The sequence below is a fragment of the Homo sapiens genome, chromosome 1 (assembly GCF_000001405.40).
Source record: "Homo sapiens chromosome 1, GRCh38.p14 Primary Assembly".
Classification (NCBI taxonomy): Eukaryota; Metazoa; Chordata; class Mammalia; order Primates; family Hominidae; genus Homo; species Homo sapiens.
The window spans coordinates 59,642,310-59,668,454 of NC_000001.11; the positions used below are offsets into that span (position 1 = coordinate 59,642,310).

Consider the following 26,145-nt stretch of genomic DNA (forward strand, 5'->3'; position numbering starts at 1 on the left):
TAAGTATACAGTGAGTGGGGATAAGAGCAAATCACGGCTGTGTGCGGTGGCTCACGCCTGTAATCCCAGCACTTTGGGAGGCCGAGCCAGTTGGATCATGAGGTCAGGGGTTCGAGACCAGCCTGACCAACATGGTGAAACCCCGTTTCTACTAAAAATACAAAAATTAGCTGGGCGTGGTGGTGGACGCCTGTAATCCCAGCTACTCAGGAGGCTGAGGCAGGAGAATTGCTTGAACCTGGTAGGCGGAGGTTGCAGTGAGCTGAGATTGTGCCACTGCACTCCAGCCTGGGTGACAAGAGCGAGACTCCGTCTCAAAAAAAAAAAAAAAAAAAGAGCAAATCATGTGTACTGTATGCTGGGAAATACTGAACATGTGTACCTGTCTAGTTAGCGTAAATGTTGAAAAATAATGGCCCCTTAGAAAAACCATTACATACGGCTGGACGCGGTGGCTCACACCTGTAATCCCAACACTTTGGGAGGCCGAAGCGGATGGATCACGAGGTCAGGAGATCGAGACCATCCTGGCTAACATGGTGAAACCCTGTCTCTACTTAAAAAAGTACAAAAAAATTAGCCGGGCATGGTGGCGGGTGGCTGTAGTCCCAGCTACTCGGGAGGCTGAGGCAGGAGAATGGCGAGAACCTGGGGGGTGGAGCTTGCAGTGAGCCAAGATCACGCCACTGCACTCTAGCCTGGGTGACAGAGTGAGACTCCATCTCAAAAAAAAAAAAAAAAAGAAAAACCATTACATACAAAGAAAAAAATACCATTGTGAACACTTAAAGGAAAGCCCTCTTGAAAATTATTTACTACTGAAACCAAAAGAAAATGTTAGAGAACTTTGTGGTATATTCAATGGAATATTTTTAATTTTTTTTTAAGAGACAGGATCTTGCTCTTTGTCACTCAGACTGGAATGCAGTGGTGCAGTGGCCTAATCAGAACCCACTGTAACCTTGAACTTCTGAGCTCAAGCAGTCCTTCCATCTCAGCCTCCCAAGTAGCTAAGACTACACAGGCACATGTCAGCATGCCCAGCTAATTTTTAAAATATTTTTTTGTAGAGATGGGGTCTCACTCTGTTGCCAAGGCTGGTCTCAAACTGCTGGCCTCAAGCCGTCTTCCCACTTCAGTCTCCCAAAGTGTTGAGATTATAGGCATGAAACACTGTTCCCAGCCAGAAATTTTGTTTCAAGGCATATCTCTATGAAATAGGCCAGAAACTTATTAGGAAAGAACAAGTTAAGATGAAAGGACAATGGAATGAGAAAAAGGGGGAAATGGCAAAGACCACAAGACAACTAAAAATGCAATCAAAGAATTAAAACCTACATTGAAAGCAATAGGGAGTATAATTTTCACTGAAGAAAATAAGATCAAGGCTGTCATAAGACATAACATATGTTTTAAATTTACTCTATAGGAAAAACATTTTGAGGATAGGAGCAATGGCTTATTTACTTTTTAAAATATCAACAGTTCTTAGGTCAGAAGCTGGCACCAAATAATTGCCTTATGGTCAAACAGTTATTTCAATCACTGTTTGCCAAATGAGGAATGAACAGTGACCTGCCCAAAGTCACAAAGCCAAGAAGTGGCAGCGCTTGCCTTTTAGGATGCAAACTCTGGACTTTGCAAAACGCATGGAGGACTATTAAGAAAGGGAGTTTAAACATGCATTATACATGGTTTCATAGTGAACCATGTTCCTTAAGCTAGTCCTTGGCTCTTCTGTTCTTCTGACCACCAACCTTGTGGCTTGTCCTCCCACTTTTACCCTAACCATGGTCTTTGGATTTAAACTCTGACCCTGTCTCTTCTCAGTAAGGTACTAGTTTCCTTCCCACCCTAACTGACTCAGATTTAAAAAAAAATAGCCACTCGTGGTTTGACCTGGTTCTAATGCCTTCCACACTAGGTGCCTACCTTGGTAAGTAGGAACAGGACATAACCCAGGAATCTCTTCCTTATGCTTGATAGTATCATTTTCTTTTTGTTCTGGTAACAGTTGACTCCTATCATGTGACTAGCTGTTTCATTTTTCTTTTGATGATACAATATCAGCCTGAAGCACTGGACTAAAGAGAGGTGGAGGAGGTGGGGGATGAGCAGCCTAATAGCATGGCTGGACTAGGTACCCCACTATGTAAACATTTCTCCTTTCCAGTTGATAAATGAAGCACAGAAAGGTGAGGGCTACACATACGATTATTTAAAAGAAGCAGAATCTTAAGTAATAACAGTCGGTCTCAAAACAGTAAGCGCTGATGATTTTAGGTTCATTAAAAACAAGACAGACACGCCCCCCCCCACCCAAAGAAAAATGCTTACTTTTAAAGTAAGAAAATGACATGGTCACACATAAAGGTAGATGAATATAGGCCGGGTGCGGTGGCTCACGCCTGTAATCCCAGCACTTTGGGAGGCCGAGGCGGGTGGATCACGAGGTCAAGAGATTGAGACCATCCTGGCCAACATGGTGAAACCCCGTCTCTACTAAAAATACAAAAAATTGGCTGTGCGTGGTGGCACACACCTATGGTCCCAGCTACTCAGGAGGCTGAGGCAGGAGAGTCGCTTGAACCCAGGAGGCAGAGGTTGCCGTGGGCTGAGATCACGCCACTGCATTCCAGCCTGGCAAGACAGCGAGGCTCCATCTCAAAAAAAAAAAAAGATAGATGAAGATAAATACTCACCATCAGGAATAGTTGCATGTTTTAGGGATTTTTTTGGTGGTTATTTTTATTTTAAATGTTTTGTTGAATGGTTTTTACCACTGCAAAGCAGTAAAGAGGGCCCAGGTTTTGAAATCGGACTTATGTTTGAACTTGTCTTGAAGATATACCAGTGTATGACCTTTGGCGGGTTAACTCTGTGCAGCTGATCTGCTCATGAGGAAGCAGGAGTGGCCCAGGCTTCTTTGCAGGGTCACTGTCAGCGCCAGACAGTAGGTGTTGGCACGATGGACAGACAGCACAACAATGCCCTTGAATTGGCAGCTCCTGCTTGGTGGCCTTTACTTGCATCTTTACGAGATGGCCAGTAGGATCCTGTGTGGCTTTTGAACCCTGAGCAGCCAGCCGTGGGCCTCCCACTTTAGCCCCAGAACTGACTGGACTCACCAGCCCAAACAACCAGCCAGAGAAGCCCACCAGTCCCTTGGTCCTCACAGAAAGCAAGTTTCATACAGCTCTTGAGATTGATCTTCTTTGTTCAAGTCCTTGGCCCTCAGTTTCCTCATCAATACAACAGGAAACTCAAATGTGGTGTACCTTATGGAATAGCTAGCATTGTAGGAATTTTCAAAGAGTCCTTGCCGTCTGGTATATATGAGCAGTTTCTATTCACAAAAAATTGGCGTGGCCTTTGTTTTGTGGTGTTTGGGATTTTTAAAAATTATTTTCCTGAAATAACCACTCAACCACTCAACAAAGCAATGACCTTGGAGACATATCAGGCCCTGAAAACACACCAAATGCACCCTATTCATCATTGGTTGAAACATGTTTTCTCTGCTTCATGTTAAAAGTACAGAACTACCCAGAACAAAAAGTGATTTTCTGCTTCTTTGAAGAGCTGTGACTTCTAACATCAGAGCGTATGCTACTCAAACTGCTGGAGAGGTTGAATGCTGCTCCAACAACTCTTCAAAGCAAACACAGAGATAGTGTGTATGTGGGAGACCAGGAGAGAGTCAGGGAGGAAGCACTGGGAGATCTTAGCCAGTTTCCAAGGGACTGAATCCCAGCTAGCTGTAGGCATCACTAAACAGATCCAGATGTGGAAGGAGTCAGCAACTCAGGGTATCTGCAAGAGCTCAATAGAGAGCAGAGGTTGCACCCCTGTGGCTTTTCCGATAGGGAGATGGATGATAGAGCTGGAAGCTCATGAGCTAATTGAAGTAGCTTTCAAATGATGTATTTATAAGCTTTGGAAACACATGGTCTCTTTGATATGAGTTTGTGGATGTTTTTGCTGTTATTTAACACTGATTTATTCGGACTTTTTTTTTACATATTTTTGCTTATGAAAAATCAAATCCTATAACAAAGCTTAATATCCTCAGTGTCTTTACCTGGTTTTCTGATTATATATATATAATCACAATACCAAATTGGTGTTTTCCAAATTGGTCACAAATTTTACTGAATATATATATATGTTTTACTGAAAATACATATTTTTTATTTGTATATTTATATATAAATTTACATATTTATATTTTATTTAAAATATGTATTTTACTGAAAAAATATATATATTTTACTGAAGTGACTAATTCGCCAGCTGGTATTGTGATTTTTAATAGGTACCATTTTTCAGGCACCTGATGCACCAGGCACCATGGTAGATGCTTTCCATGTATCATCAACAACCTTCACAACAACCGTGCAAGACAATGTTGTTGTCCCATTTAAAAGAAGAGAGAAACCGAGGCTCAAGGAGTTTAAGTAGCTTACTCAGAGGAGAAAAGGGTATAAGTGGAACGGGAACCAGTCAATTCAAACCTGGGTCAATGACATTCTTTGGGGAAAAAGAAAAATAAAAAACTAGATCTTTGTCATTACTGTTGTTTTCATTGCTTCTGCTTTGTTTTTAATGTGCCTGGCATCTTTCTTTTTCATTTTAATGACTTTTTAAATTCTATCACAGAATCAGACTTTCCTTTCTTACTGCTCCTTTATCTTTCCTATATACACTAAACAACAAGTAAAACCAGGGAATGGACTATGGGCAGGAGTGTTTCCCAAGGTCATGTGGCATGATAAAAGACTGAGGGGCGAATCAGGTGGAATCTACTGGGAAGGTCCAAGACATAAACAATGCAAAGGAACTAAGGCCAGAGGACCAAGGATAGAGTCCATTGTGTATAATCTTGGTGTGCAGACCCAAGACAGGGTTAGACAACAGCAAGTATGGGCCAGAAGAGTTGTACAGACCAGCTTCGAGAAACAGTATATGAGCATATCAAAATGGCTTAGACTTAAACCCTCAGAAGCAAGGCAAACAAGGTGTGAAGGGCCTTTGGGTAAACAGCAAACAAAGTAGTGTTGTGTGGTGTAGAATTCACCAATAGAGTAAGGTCATGAGGGGCAGTGTCCATCCATCATTTTTGCTTGCTATAATAAATTACACAAATCTAGTGGCTTAAATTTATTCTCTTACAGTTCTTCAGGTCAGAAATCTAGGTTGGTTCTACTGGTTCCTCCGTAACCAAAGAAAGTGTTCACAAGGCCAAAATCAAAGGTTTTATTGGAAGGTTCTGGGAAAAATCTGCTTCCACACTCATTCAAGTGGTTGACCTAATTTAGTCCCATGCAGTTGTAGGGCTGAGGTCCCTGTTTCCATGTTAAAGGTCAGCCAGTGATCCTTCTCAGCTTTCAGAGGCCTCCGGCATTCCTGGGCCCACCACCCCTGCCACCATCTTTTTTTTTTTTTTTTTTTTTTATACTTTAAGTTTTAGGGTACATGTGCACATTGTGCAGGTTAGTTACATATGTATACATGTGCCATGCTGGTGCGCTGCACCCACTAACTCGTCATCTAGCATTAGGTATATCTCCCAATGCTATCCCTCCCCCCTCCCCCCACCCCACCACAGTCCCCAGAGTGTGATATTCCCCTTCCTGTGTCCATGTGATCTCATTGTTCAATTCCCACCTATGAGTGAGAATATGCGGTGTTTGGTTTTTTGTTCTTGCGATAGTTTACTGAGAATGATGATTTCCAATTTCATCCATGTCCCTACAAAGGACATGAACTCATCATTTTTTATGGCTGCATAGTATTCCATGGTGTATATGTGCCACATTTTCTTAATCGAGTCTATCATTGTTGGACATTTGGGTTGGTTCCAAGTCTTTGCTATTGTGAATAGTGCCGCAATAAACATATGTGTGCATGTGTCTTTATAACAGCATGATTTATAGTCATTTGGGTATATACCCAGTAATGGGATGGCTGGGTCAAATGGTATTTCTAGTTCTAGATCCCTGAGGAATCGCCACACTGACTTCCACAATGTTTGAACTAGTTTACAGTCCCACCAACAGTGTAAAAGTGTTCCTATTTCTCCACATCCTCTCCAGCACCTGTTGTTTCCTGACTTTTTAATGATTGCCATTCTAACTGGTGTGAGATGGTATCTCATTGTGGTTTTGATTTGCATTTCTCTGATGGCCAGTGATGATGAGCATTTTTTCATGTGTTTTTTGGCTGCATAAATGTCTTCTTTTGAGAAGTGTCTGTTCATGTCCTTTGCCCACTTTTTGATGGGGTTGTTTGTTTTTTTCTTGTAAATTTGGTTGAGTTCATTGTAGATTCTGGATATTAGCCCTTTGTCAGATGAGTAGGTTGCGAAAATTTTCACCCATTTTGTAGGTTGCCTGTTCAGTCTGATGGTAGTTTCTTTTGCTGTGCAGAAGCTCTTTAGTTTAATTAGATCCCATTTGTCAATTTTGGCTTTTGTTGCCATTGCTTTTTGTGTTTTAGACATGAAGTCCTTGCCCATGCCTATGTCCTGAATGGTCATGCCTAGGTTTTCTTCTAGGGTTTTTATGGTTTTAGGTCTAATGTTTAAATCTTTAATCCATCTTGAATTGATTTTTGTATAAGGTGTAAGGAAGGGATCCAGTTTCAGCTTCCTACATATGGCTAGCCAGTTTTCCCAGCACCATTTATTAAATAGGGAATCCTTTCCCCATTGCTTGTTTTTCTCAGGTTTGTCAAAGATCAGATAGTTTTAGGTATGCGGCATTATTTCTGAGGGCTCTGTTCTGTTCCATTGGTCTATATCTCTCTTTTGGTACCAGTACCATGCTGTTTTGGTTACTGTAGCCTTGTAGTATAGTTTGAAGTCAGGTAGTGTGATGCCTCCAGCTTTGTTCTTTTGGCTTAGGATTGACTTGGCAATGCGGGCTCTTTTTTGGTTCCATATGAACTTTAAAGTAGTTTTTTCCAATTCTGTGAAGAAAGTCTTTGGTAGCTTGATGGGGATGGCATTGAATCTGTAAATTACCTTGGGCAGTATGGCCATTTTCACGATATTGATTCTTCCTACCCATGAGCATGAAATGTTCTTCCATTTGTTTGTCTCCTCTTTTATTTCCTTGAGCAGTGGTTTGTAGTTCTCCTTGAAGAGGTCCTTCACATCCCTTGTAAGTTGGATTCCTAGGTATTTTATTCTCTTTGAAGCAATTGTGAATGGGAGTTCACTCATGATTTGGCTCTCTGTTTGTCTGTTGTTGGTGTATAAGAATGCTTGTGATTTTTGTACATTGATTTTGTATCCTGAGACTTTGCTGAAGTTGCTTATCAGCTTAAGGAGATTTTGGGCTGAGACAATGGGGTTTTCTAGATATACAATCATGTCGTCTGCAAACAGGGACAATTTGACTTCCTCTTTTCCTAATTGGATACCCTTTATTTCCTTCTCTTGCCTAATTGCCCTGGCCAGAACTTCCAACACTGTGTTGAATAGGAGTGGTGAGAGAGGGCATCCCTGTCTTGTGCCAGTTTTCAAAGGGAATGCTTCCAGTTTTTGCCCATTCAGTATGATATTGGCTGTGGGTTTGTCATAGATAGCTCTTATTATTTTGAAATACGTCCCATCAATACCTAATTTCTTGAGAGTTTTTAGCATGAAGGGTTGTTGAATTTTGTCAAAGGCTTTTTCTGCATCTGTTGAGATAATCATGTGGTTTTTGTCTTTGGCTCTGTTTATATGCTGGATTACATTTATTGATTTGCGTATATTGAACCAGCCTTGATCCCAGGGATGAAGCCCACTTGATCATGGTGGATAAGCTTTTTGATGTGCTGCTGGATTTGGTTTGCCAGTATTGTATTGAGGATTTTTGCATCGATGTTCATCAGGGATATTGGTCTAAAATTCTCTTTTTTTTGTTGTGTCTCTGCCAGGGTTTGGTATCAGGATGATGCTGGCCTCATAAAATGCGTTAGGGAGGATTCCGTCTTTTCTATTGATTGGAATAGTTTCAGAAGGAATGGCACCAGCTCCTCTTTGTACCTCTGGTAGAATTTGGCTGTGAATCCGTCTGGTCCTGGACTTTTTATGGTTGGTAAGCTATTAATTATTGCCTCAATTTCAGAGCCTGTTATTGGTCTATTCAGAGATTCAACTTCTTCCTGGTTTAGTCTTGGGAAGGTGTATGTGTCCAGGAATTTATCCATTTCTTCTAGATTTTCTAGTATATTTGCATAGAGGTGTTTATAGTATTCTCTGATGGTAGTTTGTATTTCTGTGGGATTGGTGGTGATATCCCCTTTATCATTTTTTATTGCGTCTATTTGATTCTTCTCTCATTTCTTCTTTATTAGTCTTGCTAGCAGTCTATCAATTTTGTTGATCTTTTCAAAAAACCAGCTCCTGGATTCACTGATTTTTTGAAGGGTTTTTTGTGTCTCTATTTCCTTCAGTTCTGCTCTGATCTTAGTTATTTCTTGCCTTCTGCTAGCTGTTGAATGTGTTTGCTCTTGCTTCTCTAGTTCTTTTAATTGTGATGTTAGGGTGTCAATTTTGGATCTTTCCTGCTTTCTCTTGTGGGCATTTAGTGCTATAAATTTCCCTCTACACACTGCTTTGAATGTGTCCCAGAGATTCTGGTACGTTGTGTCTTTGTTCTCGTTGGTTTCAAAGAACATCTTTATTTCTGCCTTCATTTCGTTATGTACCCAGTAGTCATTCAGGAGCAGGTTGTTCAGTTTCCATGTAGCTGAGCAGCTTTGAGTGAGATTCTTAATCCTGAGTTCTAGTTTGATTGCACTGTGGTCTGAGAGATAGTTTGTTATAATTTCTGTTCTTTTACATTTGCTGAGGAGAGCTTTACTTCCAACTATGTGGTCAATTTTGGAATAGGTGTGGTGCGGTGCTGAAAAAAATGTATATTCTGTTGATTTGGGGGTGGAGAGTTCTGTAGAAGTCTATTAGGTCCGCTTGGTGCAGAGCTGAGTTCAATTCCTGGGTATCCTTGTTGACTTTCTGTCTCGTTGATCTGTCTAATGTTGACAGTGGGGTGTTAAAGTCTCCCATTATTAATGCGTGGGAGTCTAAGTCTCTTTGTAGGTCACTCAGGACTTGCTTTATGAATCTGGGTGCTCCTGTATTGGGTGCATATATATTTAGGATAGTTAGCTCTTCTTGTTGAATTGATCCCTTTACCATTATGTAATGGCCTTCTTTGTCTCTTTTGATCTTTGTTGGTTTAAAGTCTGTTTTATCAGAGACTAGGATTGCAACCCCTGCCTTTTTTTGTTTTCCATTTGCTTGGTAGATCTTCCTCCATCCTTTTATTTTGAGCCTATGTGTATCTCTGCACGTGAGATGGGTCTCCTGAATACAGCACACTGATGGTTCTTGACTCTTTATCCAATTTGCCAGTCTGTGTCTTTCAATTGGAGAATTTAGTCCATTTACATTTAAACTTAATATTGTTATGTGTGAATTTGATCCTGTCATTATGATGTTAGCTGGTGATTTTGCTCGTTAGTTGATGCAGTTTCTTCCTAGTCTCGATGGTCTTTACATTTTGACATGATTTTGCAGCGGCTGGTACCGATTGTTCCTTTCCATCTTTAGTGGTTCCTTCAGGAGCTCTTTTAGGGCAGGCCTGGTGGTGACAAAATCTCTCAGCATTTGCTTGTCTGTAAAGTATTTTATTTCTCCTTCACTTATGAAGCTTAGTTTGGCTGGATATGAAATTCTGGGTTGAAAATTCTTTTCTTTAAGAATGTTGAATATTGGCCCCCACTCTCTTCTGGCTTGTAGGGTTTCTGCCGAGAGATCAGCCGTTAGTCTGATGGGCTTCCCTTTGAGGGTAACCCAACCTTTCTCTCTGGCTGCCCTTAACATTTTTTCCTTCATTTCAACTTTGGTGAATCTGACAATTATGTGTCTTGGAGTTGCTCTTCTCGAGGAGTATCTTTGTGGCATTCTCTGTATTTCCTGAATCTGAACGTTGGCCTGCCTTGCTAGATTGGGGAAGTTCTCCTGGATAATATCCTGCAGAGTGTTTTGCAACTTGGTTCCATTCTCCCCATCACTTTCAGGTACACCAATCAGACGTAGATTTGGTCTTTTCACATAGTCCCATATTTCTTGGAGGCTTTGCTCATTTCTTTTTATTCTTTTTTCTCTAAACTTCCCTTCTTGCTTCATTTCATTCATTTCATCTTCCATTGCTGATACCCTTTCTTCCAGTTGATCGCATCGGCTCCTGAGGCTTCTGCATTCTTCACGTAGTTCTCGAGCCTTGGTTTTCAGCTCCATCGGCTCCTTTAAGCACTTCTCTGTATTGGTTATTCTAGTTATACATTCTTCTAAATTTTTTTCAAAGTTTTCAACTTCTTTGCCTTTGGTTTGAATGTCCTCCCGTAGCTCAGAGTAATTTGATCATCTGAAGCCTTCTTCTCTCAGCTCGTCAAAGTCATTCTCCATCCAGCTTTGTTCCGTTGCTGGTGAGGAACTGCGTTCCTTTGGAGGAGGAGAGACGCTCTGCGTTTTAGATTTTCCAGTTTTTCTGTTCTGTTTTTTCCCCATGTTTGTGGTTTTATCTACTTTTGGTCTTTGATGATGGTGGTGTACAGATGGGTTTTCGGTGTGGATGTCCTTTCTGTTTGTTAGTTTTCCTTCTAACAGACAGGACCCTCAGCTGCAGGTCTGTTGGAATACCCTGCCGTGTGAGGTGTCAGTGTGCTCCTGCTGGGGGGTGCCTCCCAGTTAGGCTGCTCGTGGGTCAGGGTTCAGCGACCCACTTGAGGAGGCAGTCTGCGGGTTCTCAGATCTCCAGCTGCGTGCTGGGAGAACCACTGCTCTCTTCAAAGCTGTCAGACAGGGACATTTAAGTCTGCAGAGGTTACTGCTGTCTTTTTGTTTGTCTGTGCCCTGCCCCCAGAGGTGGAGCCTACAGTGGCAGGCAGGCCTCCTTGAGCTGTGGTGGACTCCACCCAGTTCGAGCTTTTGGGCTGCTTTGTTTACCTAAGCAAGCCTGGGCAATGGCGGGCGCCCCTCCCCCAGCCTTGCTGCCGCCTTGCAGTTTGATCTCAGACTGCTGTGCTAGCAATCAGCGAGATTCTGTGGGCGTAGGACCCTCCGAGCCAGGTGTGGGATATAGTCTCGTGGTTCGCCGTTTTTTAAGCCGGTCTGAAAAGCGCAATATTCGGGTGGGAGTGACCCGATTTTCCAGGTGCGTCCGTCACCCCTTTCTTTGACTCGGAAAGGGAACTCCCTGACCCCTTGCGCTTCCCAGGTGAGGCAATGCCTCGCCCTGCTTCGGCTTGCGCATGGTGCTTGCACCCACTGGCCTGCGCCCACTGTCTGGGACTCCCTAGTGAGATGAACCCGGTACCTCAGATGGAAATGCGGAAATCACCCGTCTTCTGCGTTGCTCACGCTGGGAGCTGTAGACTGGAGCTGTTCCTATTCGGCCATCTTGGCTCCTCCTCCTGCCACCATCTTTTAAGCCAGCAATGATGGGTCAAATCTTTCTCATGCTTTGAACCACTCCGATTTCTATTTCTGCTTCATCTCTCCTGTCTTCCTCTTCTACTGTGTCGCTTGACTGACTCCTCTGCCTTTCTCTTCTGCTTTTAAGAGCTCCTGTGATTACTCTGGATCCAACCAGAGAATCCAGGATAATCTCCCTATTTTAACGTCATCTGGCTATTAAATAATTCTATCTGCCCAGTTCCTTTAAAGCAGGGCCTCAGTTAGTGTTTAATTGAATAACCAGGGTACAGAATATTGAGGGGACATATTTAGGATTCTGCTTACCACATTGTGGTAGCACAGTCATCTGCATTTCTCAAATGTGGATAGGATTTAGGCAATGCCAAGTGTTAGCCTAGATTCCAGACACTTACTGACACCTCTAAATATTTTTGGTAAGATGTGTCCCCCTTTCTCTTCCAAGCGGGTGATTATCTCAGACTTGTCCTCCAATGTCCCTTTTCCCTTTAGAGGCTTCCTATAAATCTTTCTCTGATCCTCCTCATTGCCTTGTCCATCAGCTCCACCTTCATTATTGACTGAGCAAGCAGAGCATTTCTGCCTCTCCATTGTGTTCTGGAAAGCTTTCAGTGAATTCCCCTGAGCCTTGGATACCCCCATCAAGCTCTGATGACCATAGAAAAATCTCAGGACTTGTGAATCCCATTTTCTTGTCTTTTGTAATCTTTTGAGATCCCTTGGGAAACTATTTTTAAGCCTTTTTTTTCTTGCTAATATGTATAAACACTTCAATTCCTTTAACAACTAGGAAGGAAAAAGTGTAATTGCTAATACATTTATTAATAATCTCAACTATTTTAGAACCTATGAACCTATAATTTATAATACCAAGGTTTAGAGCAGTCATTTCCACAATTTATTGTGCATTAGGACTGTGGTGAAATGCAAATTGCTGGACCCACACCAAAGGTTCAGTAAATCTAGAGTAGGATCCCAGGAAACCTACACTCGACTAGGATCCCAGGAAAGAGTTGAGAGAGGTGCCGTAGTTTAGACAGCTACTAAGTTGCAAGATTTAAGGTGAAGTCCAGGGTGGACAGTAACCATCTGTCTCTTCTTTTTATAGTGAATGGAAGTGTGTAGGTTGATAAGTACTAAGGCTTCCTCAAGGAGTTCTTGCAAGAGTCCCCCCACTCTGTGTCCCTGGGCACTCAGGGGCTTCTCCATACTCCTGCATGCCTGTACCTTTAACATTATGGTCCCAGCGCTGATGAGCAACTTCTGCCCTGGCTTCCCTACACTGAACAGTCACTAGTCTCCAGTGCCCCTCATTAATATCCTCAGTAGTACCCACAGCATGGTGAAGGAGATACGTTACTCCCATATCCCAGTAAATGAATGGGATTGAGCCTTTCATGCAATTCGAGAGAAAGAGAATGAACACTTATTAAGAGAAACGGAAAGAAAATGAATACTTATTTTACTTTTGTAAGTTTACTTTACGTTCTGGGATACATGTGAAGAACGTGCAGGTTTGTTAAATAGGTATACATGTGCCATGGTGGTTTGCTGCACCTATCAACCCGTCATCTAGGTTTTCAGCCCCACATACATTAGGTATTTCTCCTAATGCTCTCCCTCCCCTCCACCCCACCCCACCACAGGCCCCAGTGTGTGATGTTCCCCTCCCTGTGTCCATGTGTTCTCATTGTTCAACTCCCACTTATGAGTGAGAACATGTGGTGTTTGGTTTTCTGTTCCTGTTAGTTTGCTGAGGATGATGGTTTCCAGATTCATCCATGTCCCTGCAAAGGACATGATCTCATTCTTTTTTTATGGCTGTGTAGTAGTCCATGGTGTATATGTGCCACATTAAGAAAATGAACATTTAAATGCCACCTCTTTGCACAGTTGGCACCATAAGAGTTACAGGAGTATGTAGCTCTTGTAGACTCAGTACAGCTTACTGAAAAAAGTAATTCACTTTGCAAATGATACCTCATGTAATCCTCACAAAAATAATTTGAGGTATTATCCCTTTTTTTGTGGATGAAAAAATTGAGCTCATAGATGTTACAAAATTCATATAGTGTCATGCAGCTAAATTAGAGAAAATGTCAATATTTAAACCCAGGTGCCTTCCTCTAAAGCTCATTGTTTCAATTGGCATACACCGCTAACCTCGAAAATCCCAATATTTACATAAGTGCTTTATATTCATAATCTAGGAGGTTAAAATTAGGCAATGCAGTTATTTGCATTGTTTTGGCCATTATATATAGTTTTCATGCACCCTAATATTAATTGTAAGAGCTTTCTCTTATAGTTCTCTTCATTACACAATATCCAAAATAGATAAAATGTGCTTACCCTTGCAACTCTCACATCGGGCTTCCCTACACATTTGTCTGTCTCGCCCAAACATTCAAAATAGGCACAGGCACATCAATAAACACACTCCTTCTACTCATGCTTCCTCTCCACTTCCTCTTGTTGGAACCATTCAGCCTCCAGCTAGGGAATCAGTTCATCTGGCCTATCCTAGCCTTTTCAGCCATTTCAAAGCTGTGCCTCTCCCAGGACTTCTTTGGCACTCCCAGGGCACTGTCACCACCTCCCTTCGAAGACAGCTCCCCGAGGGTCCTTTGTAGCCTCTCAAGCAGTCTTCATGGCACTCCTTGCAAAGTTCCGTCATGGGTTGACTGGGCTGAGGTCCCTGGTATTTGAGAGAAAATTAAATGGACTTAACGATCATCTGCATATCAGATGAGATGTCAAGGAAACAAGGACCTCAGACCACAGTGTCTTTGCACTTGAGAGATAAATATCTTTCACTAAGTCACATTTCAATACCATGGCTCTAGTGTTAGTGGTGAGGGAATACTGGAAACGGTTGTATGAGAATTGTGTTTGTGGCTTCCCTTTTGATACTGAATACCTTCTATATTATGATCCATGCAAGAAATCTCTTCTAGAATTTCTTCCCAGGAATAATTTTGTCTCCCTTCAAGGATAGCTATGTTTTATTTATCAGAAAAAAAGCTATTTCACCCTCATGTGTCCCTTTTTGCCATAGCTGCTAGCAAGCTCAGGATTTAAATTTAGTGCTCAATTACATTGATTATATCATTCTCAGTTTCTGGGGAAAAAAATTATCCTCCCGTTTCTGCTCTATGATTTCTGAGCTCTGGAGGCACTGGAAATTTAGAGAAGGGTCCGTGATATCTTTTTGCATGAATACCAATGCTTTTTGGAAATTCTCGTGGATATCTGCTGGGGATTAAGGAAGTTAAATCCAGCTATGTCACACCCTTTCTTCTCTCTTATGGATTCTTACTAATTGAGAAGGATATCAGAACCCATTACATTATCAGTATTATTATACAAAGCACTGGGGTTCCTAATAAATATTGTTAGGGGAATGCATCTTATATACAAAGTCATATTTTACCCCCACTCCCAACAAAAATCATCCAAATCTGGTCTTCAGGAGTGGGTCAGCCACACAGAGGATCATGGCTTAATCCTCTTCCCATTGATGACCAGAGAGAGGAAGCCAAAGGGAGGCAGCCTCCTGGACAGGCTCTAGAACAGTGCACTAAGCCATGGCCCAGCAACTTCCCTAGGAGACCTAATAGCAGAGGTGCTGTTGAGGCCAGGCCAGTACAGGAGAGACAGAGAAACCGTGTGTGAATGGTGTTCATGACTAGTGATCATTGCCAGGACCACCGCATGCTAGCATGGTGCAGGCAGCTCGCAGAAAGTGTTCAGCTCAGGGATGTTCAGCTCATGACTGGTGTTCATGACTAGTGATCATTGCCAGGACCACTGCATGCCAGCATGGTGCAGGCAGCTCACAGAAAGTGTTCCACTCAGGGGGCTATGACCAGGCTGAAATCCTGCTTACTCTGCACCTTTTTATAATTCATACTCCCAGATGGGGTGCCTTTTTCAAACTCAAGACAAAGGCTCTATATGAGGTACAGGGACCCTTCCTTTTACCCTATTCTCATAAAAGCCACTTCTCTGATGAGAAAGGGTAAGTTTAGGGATGGTGGAGGGCAGGTGGCAACATGGAGCAAGTAACTAAAAGTGTTCTTCCAGTGTTCTTTTCTCTTGGGGCATGGTCTCCTCCTCTCTGATTGTGTGAGGAGCTGAGGCAGTAAACTTTGTCCACCTGTACTTGTAGAATTTAACAAAGAAGGATAGGACATAAGGAGAGAAAGTGGTGTCTAAAAGGTGAAAAGAAGCATTGAATTGTCACTGGTTCATAGTTCACAGTGCTGAGTGAATTGTCACTCAGCAAATATTAACTGAGTGCTTACTATGTTCCAGGCACAGCACTGGACATTAGAGCTTTGGTGAGTAAGACGAGCAAAGACCATCAGAACACCTACATTCTGGTGTCCATTCTCTGTGTTCCCTTAGGCACATTATTTCCTCACTGTGAAATAAAGTTCCATAATGTCAGCATTGTTCATGTTCTCTCTGAGTTCCAGAATTCTTACCATATGCTTAGGTCTCTGGGAAACTTTGTGAAGGATGTTCTTTCACAGTTAATGGCTTAGGATGATTCAGCGCCAGAGTTCTTCTCGTGTCTCTCATTTAAATTTTCCATCTTCTTGTGTATTAAAAAATCAAAGCCATCATTCTAATCTGATTGCCCAATTATTTGCCAAGAAAAACTGTCAGCAGGTAGCTCTACTGAATGTAGGAATCCCCGCATCAACAGACTTAGATAAATAATTCAGCATAGCTGGAGCATAGGATACAGAGTGAGGAGGGACAAGAGTAAACACTGGAGAAGAAGCAAGGGCGAGCCCAGGAAGAAGCACATGAGACAGTGAACGCATTTCTACTGTGAAATGAGGGCAATGGGGAGAACGTTTTACAGGGAGTAACACGATCAGATTTGCATTTAAGAACAGTCGATCTAGCTCTAGTATGGAAAGGAGCACAATTAGAAACAGTGAGATTTGCTCAGGGCCTCTGTCAGCAATTAGGAAGGACATAATGGTGGCTTGAATTAAGGAAGTGAATGACAGTAAGGATCAAGAAAAGGAGATGCATTCAAAAGAGATTTGGGAGATCAAATGTACAAAACTTTGAGACTGCTTAAATATGGGAAGACAGGGGAGGTCAAGAAAGATGGCTTCTGGCCAGGCGCAGTGGTTCACAACTGTAATCCCAGCACTTTGGGAAGCCAAGGCAGGTGTATCATATGAGGTCAGGAGTTTGAGACCAGCCTGGCTACTAAAAATACAAAAAAATTAGCCAGATGTGGTGGTATACATCTGTAATTCCAGCTACTGGGGAGGCTGAGGCAGCAGAACTGCTTGAACCCAGGAGGTGGAGGTTGCAGTGAGCCAAGATCACACCACTGCACTCCAGCCTGGGAGACAAAGCAAGACTCTGTCTCAAAAAAAAGAGGGTTCCCAAGTTTCCTGGTTTGGGTAACTGAATGGTGCCTGTGCACTGTCATAAGCCAATTGCAGTGGGGTTCAGGGTGAAATCTGGAGAGAGTAATTAAATGGGGCCAGAGAATATGAAGGAAGGGACCTAGGTAGACCACTCAGCTCCCTTATTTTGATGCAAACCGCATGTCCATACCTGGTTGAGCTCAGGACAACACACACCATAGGAACTGAGTAAATGAATGTTGGTGAATTAATTTTATAATGTGATAATCTAAAGTGAACTATGGTGCTGATGCCCACAAAAGTTGGGCTCGGCTTGAAGAACCCAGCAGCCCTCACCCTTTAGAAATGTCCCAAGAGAACACCTTGATGAGTGGGAGACATGAAAGCAGGACTGTGAGCAAGTCCTGATGGCATACAAATCCGGCATCCTGTTCAGTTCTGGACTCTCTCAGAGATTGACATACTCCATATAAACATCCGATTCTGATTGACTTTAATGGGATCCCCTTGCAACCCACAGATTCTAAGTTATCCCCTAGTAGGTATAATATTTGTAGGAGACATATTATATTACCCTGGATTGGACACTGAATGCTGTTACACTGAAGTCTGACAGTAGCAGAACTCAAAACAAGATCATCTTGTACTAGAATGCCACTGTTAGTGTTGATTTCTTGTAAGCCACAGAAAATAGGTATTTGTAAGAAAAGAAAATGTTTTAAAATAAAAAGTATTTAATTATCGTCTAAGAAATATCAAACATAATCTTCCTGTGGTATTTGTTTTGTTTTTGTTTAAGGTCAGGGTATTTTCTCTTGGGGAGGAAGGGATAGTTTTTCCCAGGTCTGGAGATTAAACAACTTAATAGGCATTTCACGTTCCGCTCACAAAAAGGGGATTTGCATATGAACTTGTTTCGGCAAGAAAACACATCTGAACGTATTTCATGGGAACTATCTTTATCCACGGCAGCTTCTTTTGACCATCTTCTTCTTTTCTTCCCTTCATGCCTGCAGGTCACCGGATTGAAACTGTCTCAGGACCTTGATGATCTTGCCATTCTCTACCTGGCCACAGTTCAAGCCATTGCTGTAAGATACTGTAATGCCATTTTTAAAGAGACTTAGAGCCATCAGTATACTCTAGGCCACTGGCTCCCCAAGATACAGCACATGCTTTTGTGACAGAGATTCTTAATTAAAAGATTGTTTGCAAAAAAGAGATTCTTGTATGTCTGGAAGGAAGTGTTGATGAAAGGCCTCACCTGCTTTAACTAATAACCTCACATAACAAAAAGCTGAAAGGAGTTAAAATCTGTGAAGATTATACTTGTCATTTATCTAATTTGTCTTCTAAATTTAATTAAATAGAAGCAAGCAAACAGATGCTATGTATGCTTGCATTAAGAAAAGTTGTTAAGAATGTCTGATTTATAAAATACATTATATTGTTCACTTTGCAAAAGGATTCATGATAGGGGTCCTTTAAATAGTAAGCTTCCTTAGAACATGAAAGTGTTTGTTTTTAGATAATTAGCTGCTTAAGTGAGGTTAGGATGATTAGGGAGGAAGAGGGGAATTTAAATCTGAAATGTTAGGAGTTTCTACACTAAAGATAAATCAAAAATGGAAATGAAATCCTAAAAGCTTAACCATTGTCTAAAGAATCTTCTTATCTAGAGGTGGCTATGGATGGGCTACAAGAGGGTTCTAATCCTGAAATCACATCCAGAAGGTTGTGTGTGTGCATATATTACAAAGTGCATTTTAGGAGAGTAGATCATGGTGTTCGGGGTCTCACAGCAGGTATGTAACCGAAATTAAGTTAATCCAGTGAGGCTTAGCCACTTCTGAAAAGAGAATAGGAATTAACAGAAAGGAAAAATCAGTTTATCTAATTTTAATTCAAAATTTATTTTTCAGTAACACCTGTTTTAAGCAAATATGTTTAATGCTATACGTACATATATGATATTCAATTATTCTGTTTCTTCACACAACTGTTTTCATAACTTTATTCCTTTAAACTATATGTATATTTATTCACACCACCAACAGAAGTGCTTTTTTAATGCTCAGATTTGTCCATGCACCATGTATGTGCAATAAAGAATGGAACCTCCCAGATAGTAATAATACTAATACTGAAGGGATATAACTTCTTTAATGCAACTACATAGAAGTATGGAATCAGTCAACTTGATTAAACAGCCCTTTTAGATTCTACACTAGTTTTACTATATCTTCCTGAAGCAATTTTCTTATTGGTCTTAATAGCTTGGCCAATTCAGTGAAATCAGTCAAATATCTTTATGCATGGAAACTTGGTCAAAAGCACACAATTCTGACATCTGTAAAAATGTAGGAAATGAACAGTAAGATGAAAATAGAGAAAAAAAGTGTGCATCAGTAGTAAAGATAATTATTTAGCTGTCCTGTTTTATAATAATAATGATGATTATGATGATAATAATGAGTGAATTAAGAGGGTGTTTTGTTTTTGTTTTTGTTTTTGTTTTTGTTTTTGTTTTTGTTTTGAGACAGAGTCTCGCTCTGTTGCCAGGCTGGAGTAGAGTGGAGCGATCTTGGCTCACTGCAAGCTCCACCTCCTGGGTTCAAGCGATTCTTCTGCCTCAGCCTCCCGAGTAGCTTGGACTACAGGCGCATGCCACCATGCCCAGCTGATTTTTTGTATTTTTAGTAGAGATGGGGTTTCACCATGTTGGCCAGGATAGTCTGGATCTCCTGACCTGATGATCCACCCGTCTCGGCCTCCCAAAGTGCTGGGATTACAGGCATGAGCCACCGCACCTGGCCGAGTTAAGAGGTATTTTATAGGCCAGGCGCGGTGACTCAACGCCTGTAATCCCAGCACTTTGGGAGGCCAAAGAGGGCAGATCACGAGGTCAGGAGATCGAGACTATCCCGGCTAACATGGTGAAACCCTGTCTCTACTAAAAATACAAAAATTAGCCAGGCATGGTGGCGGGCACCTGTAGTCCCAGCTACTCAGGAGGCTGAGGCAGGAGAATGGCATGAACCCGGGAGGCGGAGCTTGCAGTGAACTGAGATCGCGCCACTGCACTCCAGCCTGGGTCACAGAGCGAGACTCCATCTCAAAAAAAAAAAAAAAAGAGAGAGATTTTATATGTGCCAAGCACTGTGCTAGATACATTACACACACCTGATTTAACCTTACTACGTAGATATTATAATTCCTATTCCACAAACTAGAAACCTAAGGCTCTGTGTGATTAATTAACTTGTGCAGGGCCATATAGCTTGTGGCAGAGGTGGGATTTGAACCCCCAGCATTCTAAAACAAAATTAGACATGTGAAGTACAGTCATCTGCTACATAACGTTTTGGTTAACGAGGGACTTCCTATATGATGGTGGTCCTATAAGATTATGATACTGTATGTTTACTGTACCTTTTCTATGTTTAGATATGTTCAGATACACAAATATTTACCATTGTGGTACAGTTGCCTACAGTATTCAGTACAATACCATGCCGTATAAGTTTGTAGCCCAGGTGCAATAGGCCATACTATATATAGCCTAGGTATGTAGTAGGCTATACCATCTAGGTTTGTGGAAGTACACTCTATGATGTTTGCATGACAAAATCACCTAACAATGCATTTCTCACAATGTATTCCCATGGTTAAAGGACATTTGACTGTATTGAGGAACTTTTATTTTCAGATTTGTTAATGTTATTGTATAAAAGAGTCATAGAATGAATAGCTTATATTGAAATGAATAATCTTGGAAAATCAGAGTGGTGTGATATTCCCCCTTTTGAGCACATGCTAAGAGGAGGACATGAAGGATGAGGCAAACAGGAGGGACCAAGGGGCACCATCACATAGTGGTAATGACAGTTACCTTTCGTCAGACACGACTGTGTGCCAGGCACCAAAGACGGTGCCTTGCCTACTGGTAGCTTAACACTGTAACCCTGTAAGTAGGTGGGTTTGTTCTCATTTTACAGACAAGGGGAGGACCATTTGCCGAGGTCAAACAGCTAGAGTATGGTAGTTGGAATCTGAACCTTTCTCCATCTCACTCCCAGGCTTCTGCTCTTTCCACTTTACCATGCTGCATTTTCCTTTGATCTGTTTGTAAAAGCTACATGGGTGAAATAAGCTTTCAGATATTCCTAAGAATCGTTTTTACTTAATATATATTAGAAAATATCATTAATTTGGCCAGGATTGTCTCACAGAGGTTCCTTTCCTGGTAAGAGTACTGCAGCAGAAGTCCAGAAATGTATAAATGAGGTTAAACTTAATGCGGGCAGGAGAGGGGAAGAAAAAAAGCCAGCTACATTTTCTCAAGTACCACACACTTGGAAAATCAATCTTGTATTTAATGGGCCGTACATGTATTAAAAGCTATCATATTTATTCTGTCCATTGTCTTAATGACCTTTATAATACCATGAAAGGAAGGCATTTTAAGACAGAGATTTTTTTCAATAAGCCTTTTTTGTGGAGTCAAGTGAATTGTGAGGGGTTCAGTCTGTTTTGCAAATGTATCTGGATGTGCTGATCTTTTAGGCAAAAAAATGTGCATTTTAATGAGGTATTCTGATAACAGATATTTTCCCATAATGTTCAACTTGGGAAAAAAAAATGTTGTTTCATTAGCCCTGAATATTGCCGGAGCACTTATTTGTTGTCGGTCAACTGAAAGTTAAGCAAATTTCTCTCTATATATAGTCATATCTTTGGGTGCTGTTTTGTAGGGGTGAAATGAAATTAAAGAGGATTGTAATCAAGTTAACTTGGGACTGTGCAAAACCCTCCATGAAGTAAAATTCTCTCTTGATCATGCTTAATTGAAAGACCTGTCAACCACCCGGTTTATCCATAGCCTGTTCATCTATAGTTTTCTTTGCAGAACAGACCCTTAAAAGGTACTATTTGCATTTGAAGTCTCTTGATTTGCATTCGGTTCTGTACATTCCCAGTGGAATAGCCTAATTTTAATTTAAATTTCTCTGTGAAAACATTTTTTCCAGAAAGGTGAGCACAAAATCATTTTCACACAAAGCCCTTTGGTGGGGCATTTCAGTAGGGTGGAGTATTACACAGATTGGAGTCTGGGACACCGAAAGGGAAGGTCCTCTAAGGAACCGCCAGACTGAGTGGGAAATTCCAGCCGACAATACCACATGGGGGAGAGACAGGCTGTCTGTCACAGCCCCTCTCGAGGGAGTGCCTCTCATTCGGATCATTTCTTTCCTTTTCCCAGGAAATGTGCTTTGTTTTATTCTTGTCTCAGGCCTGCTAATCGCAAGCCCCTAGGTCCCTGGTTTTAGAAATATCAAAGATACCAGTTTTTCCTGACATTTCCATACAAATTAGGAGACAGCAATTCTCCCATTCCATACAGACTGTATTGCTTAGTCAAATTATATATCTCCTAAGTGGAGAAAACAATATGCAGGTTTCACATTTGCCTTAAGATTAGAGATGCTATTAAAGTGCATAGCAGAGTGCCTAGCATATAGTTGATAACCAGAAGAACTCTCCTTGTATGCACCTTTCGTGAGCTGGACACTTCTACAAGTTTTACCTTTGCTGCCTACAGCAGCAGACTTGTATGGTAGGTATTACTAGATTTCATCAAGCCTAAGACCACATTTTTAATTTTTTTGCATGTTGACATTTCTGACAATCTATAGAATTTTTAACTAAATGAATATGATACTATTATTCCCATGGCAAAAAAAAAAATGGCAATTGAGTTATAGAAAGGTTAAGGTACAAGAAATATGTGAAATGCCTAAATGCCAGCCTGGGTTTTTTGAATTCAAAACTCATGCTCTTAGCTACTACAATTCATGCCGTTAGAGCAGACTGGGGTTGCCCAGAATCCACAGGCATCAAATGATCCATGATGGACTTCAGGCATCTGTAGACCTCCTGAAATTATTTATAGTACTATTTTGTATGTGACTTTTTTTTTCTGGGGAGGTCAGTAGGTTTTGGCATATTCTCAAGGGGGTTCATGACCCCCCAAAAAGCTTAACAAAGAACATCTGGGAATAATCAGCCCTAGTTAGTATGTAGGATCTGGCCTTATATGGCACAACATGTTTGAATTTTTTTAAACACACTACATCTGTAGATTGTTTATGGAGGCCCAGGTTTTACCTAATCCATATTTTTACCAGATTCATGAATAGCTTCAACAAACCCTCAAGACCTCTGGGCTAGAACTGCTGTGCCTTTTGCTCCTGAACTGCCCCTGTCCCTCATGATTTATGCCAAACCAATTAGGATTTCATGTCCTATGGTTCCCAGATCACCCTCTGACCACTCCTGTCCCCAGGTTCCCCCATCCCCTGGGGTGACAGCTCCCCAGACAGCCTTGTCAAAGGAGGCTCCATTTGCCCTCTACCCCCAACCCCCCTAAGACGTGAGGTCAGGGCAGCATCCTGCTGACTTCCAAAACCCTGTTCCTTTTTTTTTTTTGAGATGGAGTGTTGCTCTATTGCCCAGGCTGGAGTGCAATGGTGTGATCTCGGCTCACTGCAAGCTCCACCTCCCAGGTTCACACCATTCTCCTGCCTCAGCCTCCCAAGTAGCTTGCACTACAGGTGCCCGTCACCACGCCCAGCTATTTTTTTGTATTTTTAGTAGAGATGGGGTTTCACCATATTAGCCAGGATGGTCCCGATCTCCTGACCTCATGATCCGCCCGCCTTGGCCTCCCAAAGTGCTGGGATTACAGGCGTGAGCCACCGCGCCCGGCCCAAAACCCTATTCCTTACCTTGGCTAAACTCCGATTCTTCTTGCCCTCAGCTAAAACACCTCCTCTCCCTCACTACATTCCTAGGTTTCAACCTGAACAATACTGTCACACTTTCACTAAAAACCAAGATATTGGCTCATGCCTTCTTCTTGGTGGCTGTGCCATCTGTGGAGACACATTGTCCTCCCAGATCCTTGACTTTCTTATCTCTTCTGACTTCTCTTCCCTCCTTTTTAGCAATTCACTCCCAGGTCTACACTTAGGACTGTGACATCTCCCCAGATTGCTCAATCTCTAAACATTTCAAAGACTTGCTACCCACCAAAAAATCCTCTTCCTCTATTTTTTCTGGAGCCCCTTTCTCAAACATCACCATGTGGCTGCCCCCTTATGGCCACATCACAGTTCATCTTTTTGTTTTTAGTCCTTATCCCAAATAAATTTTGATTTTCGAACTCTAGTTTTTGAACTTTCAAGTAAATTAAGATTTTTCAGATGTTCAACTATCCTATCTAAAACTGAAGAATTCTACATTGAGATTCACTTCCATAACTCTAAGGCAATAATGGTTTTTACTGAGTTTAATGAACTTAGCAAGACAGACATGAGGATAATGCATATTAGGAAGATATTAATGCACAAGAACTGAGACACAAGGCTGAATTGAAAATATGGTGAAGCCCTGAAACAACCAGGGAATGGATTTGGCTCAGAAGTCTCCTTTTAGAGAACCACTACCTGGTTTCAGGCAATAGCAGCGGTAATTTTAGCCCTTAGCCACCCTGAAGCCTTGGATCTCACCTTCTTTATGCAGTTAGAGCCCTCTTTCCATGATTCTGCTGCTGGATTTTTTGGTGCTTTTTCTAAGGAAAAAGCCTTTAGTTCCCATTTAGTAAAGGAAGACTGACCAAGATACCATTGACTCTGTTTCAGAGTACTATTGCAATCACTGCTAATACAGGGCCTGGGCTATAGTAGACACTCATTAAATATCTGTTTGAATGAACTATGTTACCATTAACTGTGTTGACATTGTCAACTGTTTTTGTCAGTGTTGTGTAACTACTGATAGAAGCAAATGGTGTAATTAAGAGGGTTTTGGAATCAGTCAGGCCCAACTTGAAATTCCCACTCTGCGATTTAAGTAACTGTGTGATCATAGACAACATAATCTCTGTGAGTCTCAGCTTTCTGAGATAGTGTATGTAGAGCTTAGTACAGTGTCTAGCACTGAGTAGACATTTAAGAAGTGTTCCCTAGTGTTTACTTTTGTGACTATACTGATGCTATCTTCTGCTTTTCCTTTCAAGTTGGGGACTCGCTTCATTATAGAAGCCATGGAGGCAGCAGGGCACTCAATCAGTACTCTTTTCCTATGTGGAGGCCTCAGCAAGAATCCCCTTTTTGTGCAAATGCATGCGGACATTACTGGTAAGTCTGGGAAAGAGGAGAGAAGGTCACTTTTTGGCTTGGCAGCAAATGGGCATGGCCAAGTTCTGGGTGAAGTGAGAATAGGAGGATATATGCGGTATGCCAGATTATTAGAATAATCCTGAAGTCTTTATATTCACAATGGAGAAAGTGACTTCTATGACGTCTTTATATGCATGATGGAGAAAGTGATTTCTGTGTATATCCAACCATTGAATAATGGTGAGAAATAACACGAGAGAAGTTGGCCAGGACTAGATCTTAATTCAAGCATTTACACAACAGTTTTGAATACCTCTTCTGATCCACACATTGTGGAGAATATTGAAGATACGAAGATGAATAGGACATGATCCTTGCTCCCCACCACCCAGGAACTCACAGTCTATTGAGGAAGGGAGACAGCAAACAGGCATATTAAAGATAGTATGGCAAAAGCTTGGCGTGAGAAAAGTACGGGGTATCATGGAAACATAGTGGGGCACCTTGTCTGGTTTGGGACCTAATGGCAGCTCAGGGCGTGTGGTCTGGAAGAAGTGATAAGAAAGCTGTCTTGAAGAAAGAATGCAGAGGCTGGATGCTATAGGATCTGTGGGTATGATTGCAGACTGGGAATTTGAGCCCTAAGACCCTGAGATCCTGTGATTCCTTCTCAGCTCATCAGAATCAGGGATCATAATAGAGATGCAGGGAATCACAAATAATGGGCTGAGCTCTTTGTGATATCAGCAGACAGTGGGGGAGAAGGATCCTTAGCAAGCCCCTAGGACCCAAGGAAGGGGCCCCATTGGCAGGAGGCTTTCTGTTGTCGCAGAGAGTGGCCTGGACCTCTGTCTCTCTGGACCTGATACCCTCACCCCTTTTACTCCTTGCCCCTCTAGTGTCTCCTGGGGACTGGAGACCCATTCTCTCCCAGGACCCATCACTGGGTGGCCAGGTACCACCAGGGCAGGGCAAGGGGAGGGAAAGTGGGGAAGGGTTGTACCCATCCCATAGTCCCAACTCCAGCCTGATAAGAGCCCACTTGACCCTACCTCCATTTATCATTATC

The 26,145-nt window shown here is 41.9% G+C and overlaps 1 protein-coding gene across 59 annotated transcripts in view; it reads left to right on the forward strand.

Annotated features, from left to right (window-relative positions):
- The window catches only part of FGGY (FGGY carbohydrate kinase domain containing), a 466,353-nt gene that overhangs the window by 345,932 nt on the left and 94,276 nt on the right, over positions 1–26,145 (forward strand). For 56 of the 59 annotated variants that reach the window (NR_103473.2, XM_011541731.2, XM_047424383.1 and 53 more), the window contains 2 exons: positions 17,910–17,984; positions 24,974–25,094. Coding sequence is in view for 56 of the 59 variants with exons in the window: in XM_011541731.2 (XP_011540033.1) it covers positions 17,910–17,984; positions 24,974–25,094 (196 nt within the window). In the remaining 3 variants the exon portion in view is untranslated. Of the gene's footprint in view, positions 1–17,909; positions 19,018–24,973; positions 25,095–26,145 lie in introns of those variants that run through there. The other 3 variants (XR_007061929.1, XR_007061930.1, XM_017001679.2) reach the window with 2 other exon arrangements.